General features: G+C 40.6%; 1 annotated feature.

The window, feature by feature from the left end:
- Positions 2,331–2,531: a silencer, noted in NCBI's record as "peak1977 fragment used in MPRA reporter construct". NCBI's record gives its function as "represses an SCP1 promoter by STARR-seq MPRAs in K562 erythroleukemia cells {active_cell/tissue: K562}" and the evidence as "EXISTENCE:reporter gene assay evidence [ECO:0000049][PMID:32103011]".

The raw sequence follows: 5,380 nt of genomic DNA, 5'->3' as shown, positions 1-5,380 counted from the left end.
CACCTGAAAACTTACTGATTATTTATGTTCTAGCGTACTTTCAGGAAAGCCATCCAGGACTTTATATCCCAGGAAAACTGACAAATCTAATCAATTCTTGAGATACAGTTCTGTAAAGTCTTATTCATTTGGATGCCATCAGTTCAGAATTTTTGGATAATTCAGACAGTCTGGATAGAAGTTTCCTTTTGCACAGCTCTACAAAAATAGTTTCTTAACAAATTGATAATGCAAAGCAGACTGTCGGAGCGGAGAATGAACTGTCATCAAGTCCTTCAGAATAGCATTCACTGAGAAGCAGTCAATGGTTAGTTACAAATTATTTTTATCAAATAATTAAGGTGAATCCCAGGCAATCCACCCTATCTTAGGAAGAGCATGGTACAGGGGCAAAAATATGGCTTTCATTGTGTCCAGGCATGGGCTCAAATTCCAGCTATGCAACTCGTGAGCTTAAATTACTGTGCAGAAGCCGCTTGACTTCTCTGAGTCTTAACTCTGACATAAGGGAAAGTTTGTGGGACGGACATGAAAATTGGAACTCACATAGGAAAAGACAAAGTTTCCTAAACTATGCTCAGAAGGACTTTAAGTCTATAAGACGTTAACACTTACTGCATGAAAAAGGGATCCATGGTTTAAGAAGTTTGGGATAAGCTAGGCTAAACAAAATTAAATGTGTTTGCATGCTTGCTTTGTTTGTTTATGTGCAGGCCTTCTCAGAGCCTTTGATATTATGCTTTATATTGTGAATCTCCAAAAGAAGGTTATCAGTTTTCCTCCTAGGGAACTATGATAAATATGGCAGTCATTATCCACAAATTGAGGGGCATCTATAAGGAACTGGGGATAGTATTAAAGGGTGGATCCAAAAGTGTAAAGATTAGTCCCTACACTAATAAAATTGAAAATGGAATTGGTAAGACAGGACTGGTCCTTGGCAAACCCAACAGGAAGGCAGAGGGCAGGAAAGTCCATTGATGTGTCTCTATAAGTCAGTTTCCAGACGCAGAGCAGGGCGGGGAAGGGTGGAGGGTGACCTAAGGGAAAAGCAGAAAATATTTGGGATTGAGACACTGTTTTAGAAAGAGTTGTCAGGATGATCCCTATGAGAAAGCGATGTTAGAGGGAAGACTTGAATGAGAGGCACCAATGAACTTTGCAGAGATGTGGGGAAAGAACATTTCAGGGAACGCCACTTTGGGATCTTAGGAGAAATTCATAGGGCATGATGAAATAGAGGGAAAGAAGGTCAGTTGTGGGGATGCGTGAATGAGGTGAAGAGTGTCAGCAAGTGAGGTCTAGGGGCCTTGAGAATAAGAAATTCATTTTAAAAAGAGAGAAATGTCTGATGCTTATAGCTGCAGAGAATGAAACAGAAGCCCCCCCACCCCCACCCCCAACAATTGAATAAATGGAGGGTAGAATGGTATTGGCAAAATAAATGATTCAAAAAATGACACAGAGGCAGGAATTCACCTTGCAGGTTGGGGCAACTGGAGGGGAACCCATCCATGGATGATGTAAACCATTTCTTCCAAACCTCCTCCCTTCTTTCTTTCCTTCCTTTCGAATAGCTTTATTGAGAAATAATGTACATATGATGAAATTTACCCACTGAAAGTATACAACTAAATGGATTTTAGTATATTTATGGAGTTGTGCAACCATCACCACAGTCAAACTTTCCCATCACCTTGGAAAGAAACCTCGTGCCCATTACAGTTATTTCCCATTCCCACTCCAGTCCCAGGCAAACACTTCTCTACTCCGTGTCTAGAAATTTGCCTTTTCTGGACATTTAAATAAATGAAATCATAGAATATGTGGTCTTTTACATCTGGCTTCTTCTACCTAACATCATGCGTTTGAGGTTCATCCATGTTGTAGCGTGTTTCAGTGCTTCCTTCCTTTTTATTACCCACTAGCGTTCCATTGCACGGCTAAGCCACGTTTTATTTATCAGATCACCAGTTGGTGGACATTTGAGTTCTTTTCACTTATTGGCTATTACAAACATCCATGTACAAATTTTATGTGGATGAATGTTTTCATTTTTTTTTTTTTGATTAATGCCTATGAGTGGAATTTCTGGGTCATGTGGTAAGTCTATGTTCAACGATTTGAGAAACTGCCACACTGTTTTTCAAAGCAGCTGCACCATCAACTCTTTTTCTTAATTTGTGAAATGTGTGAGTCTTCATCTTTGTCCTCGGCTGATTGGAGCAAACAGGAGCACATGATCTAAATTGGACCAATCAGTTTTTCCTTCCTAAGATCTTCTTATGAGGACATACTGATGGATGTATGTTTGTGTCTACAGTAGTTTGAATAATAGACATGTGCAAGTGACATAGAAAAGCTGACCACAAAGACAGGAAGTTGACCTATAGAGAGAGAAACAGAGATGACAAGCCACATGAAACCAGGAGAGGTGGACAAAGTAGTCTCAGGTCCTGGGTTTCTGGGTTCCTGGTTCCAGGCCCTGATGAGGCCTATCATGCACCTTTGACCTTGTCATCTTCAACATATCCCAATGCCCTGTAATACATTCCATTTTTTGTATGATTTATGGTAAATTTTTGCTTCCAACAACTAAAAATTCCTTAACTAACTCAAAACATTTTGCCTATAGCAATGACCGGGTAGAAGAATAAAATAGGCTTAACACTTAAACTATAACAACACAAGCATTTATAAGGTACATACCATGTGTTCAGCACTATATGAGTGCAATATGTCCTGGCCTTCAAATAGCACACAGTACGGTCATTAAAGTTCTAGCAAACTGTTACAGAAGAAATACAGACGAGCATAAAGCAGATGAACAATTTTTTTAATAGAGAGCTTTTTAAAAATGTTCAGGCTGGGTGTGGTGGCTCACGCCTGTAATCCCAGCACTTTGGGAGGCCGAGGCAGGTGGATCACGAGGTCAGGAGATTGAGACCATCCTGGCTAACATGGTGAAACCCCGTCTCTACTAAAAATAAAAAATAAAATAATAGCTGGGCTTGGTGGCAGGCGCCTGTAGTCCCAGCTACTCGGGAGGCTGAGGCAGGAGAATGGCATGAACCCGGGAGGTGGAGCTTGCAGTGAGCCGAGTTCACGCCACTGCACTCCAGCCTGGGTGACAGAGGGAGACTCCATCTCAAAAAAAAAAAAAAAAAAAAAAAAAGTTGTTCAAGTAGGTCCTTGTACAATTTGATGGAAAAAAAGTAATGTAATGAAAAGCTGCCAAGATTATGGAGTTAAAACTCCTTAGGTGCTGAAAGAGCTTGAAATAAAAGACATCCCTTAAGTACCAAGCATTATAATTATATGCTCCTTTAAAGAACCACAGTCAGTTCTCCTGGTGACTAGTCTTGATCGTCTGTCAAGAACTGGAGATGGAGAAGTCGCACGAATGTTGGGCAGCAGTGTCTAATTCTGGGGCCATCTTGTGGCTTACTTTCTTAGGTTCCCCCAGGAGCCTATCTGTGTCATAACAAAGACTTCATCAGAAATTGCTTCCTTGATTCTCCCAAAACTTACCAGGAAGGAGAAGATAGAAAAGAAAAAATAGTCTCAGTGAAGGTAATATATGAAAGATCATGGGGAAGGAAATACAGCAGATAAGTTTCTTTTTCCTTTCTTTCTTTCTTTGTTTTTTTGAGACAAGTTCTCACTCTATTGCTCAGGTTGCAGTGCAGTGGCTCAATCTCGGCTCACTCCAACCTCCACCTCCTGGGTTCAAGCAATTCTCCTGCCTCAGCCTCCGGAGTAGCTGGGACTACAGGCACATGCCATCACACCTGGTTAATTTTTGTATTTTTAGTAGAGACAGGGTTTTGTCATGTTGGCCAGGCTGATCGTGAACTCCTGGCGTTATGTGATCCAACTGACTTGGTCTTCCAAAGTGCTAGGATTACAGGTGTGAGCCACCATGCCCGGCCAAAAGTGAGACCCTCTGGGGTAAATTTCTTAATTAAAGGGTCTACATGTTTTCTGTTATTTGTTTGGTTTCTCAATAGAAGATAAGCCCCAGGAGGGTAGGAACCGTGTCTGGAGTGGTCACCATTGAATCAATATTCTTCTAGAACAGTATTGGGTGTATAGTAGAGAGTCCATTACTACTTGTTGAATAGATGAGTGAAGTAAAGTACAGTATTTCTTACTTCCTTATTTCTCAGTTGATGTCAACTTAAGATCTTGCCAGGAGGTACACAATACAAGAAAAATATTTCAGGTGATAAACTATGGAATCTCTGACAACATGTGAAAGACCCAGGGGAGCCTCTCACATGAGATGCCAGATTTCAGCAACTGCAGTGAAGCCTAGAAATGAAAAAATATTGCATTTCATGTATGCATGTATATTCCTTTGTTCATCCCATTGTCATTGAATGTGCTGGGTTCATGCTACAACCAGAGATGATTCAGTTGGTACCTCATTTACAGCAGAAAGAACAGACTTGTGAAATGGTCTTTCTTCAGTGACTTACTACACTCTAGCCCAGCACTGTACAGTAGAAATCTAAGGAAACCCACGTTTGTAATTTTAAATTTTCTACCAGTCTGGACAACATGCAAGAACCCCGTCTCTACCAAAAAAGTTACAAAAATTAGCTAGGCATGGTGGTGTGCATCTGTAGTCCCAACTACTTAGGAGGCTGAGGTGGGAGAATCACTTGAGCATGGGAGATGGAGGTTGCTGTGAGCCAAGATCGCATCACTGTACTCCATACTGGGCGACAGAGCAAGACCCTGTCTCAACAATAATTAATAAATAAATAAATAAATAAATAAATAAATTTTCTAGTAGTCACATTTTAAAAAGTGAAAAGTAACAGAATTAGTTTAAATAATATATTTAAGTGATTTTAACCAAAATATTATCCTTTCATCACGTAATAGACATAAAACTTATCAGTGAGACACTTTACATTTTTTTGCATCCTAAGTTTTTAAAATCTAGTGCATATCTTATGCCAATAACACATCACATGTGGATGCTCAAGTTTGTTGAAAATTCTTGATTTATATTTAGAATTCAGAAAATTTACAGTCAAAAAGACTTTAAAAGCCTTCCAATAGCTGAATCATGTCAGGGTTTTCTGTTTTGTTTTGTTTTGTTTTGTTCTGTTTTTGAGATGGAGTCTCGCTCTATCGCCCAGGCTGGAGTGCAGTGGTGCGATCTTGGCTCACTGCAAACTCCGCCTCCCGAGTTCACACCATTCTCCTGCCTCAGCCTCCCGAGTAGCTGGGACTACAGGCTCCCGCTACCACGCCCGGCTAATTTTTTGTATTTTTAGTAGAGACGGGGTTTCACCATGTTAGCCAGGATGGTCTCGATCTCCTGACCTCATGATCCGCCCGCCTCGGCCTCCCAAAGTGCTGGGAT

Source organism: Homo sapiens, chromosome 12 (genome assembly GCF_000001405.40).
Source record: "Homo sapiens chromosome 12, GRCh38.p14 Primary Assembly".
NCBI lineage: Eukaryota > Metazoa > Chordata > Mammalia > Primates > Hominidae > Homo > Homo sapiens.
This window is presented reverse-complemented; position numbering and strand designations above follow the sequence as displayed.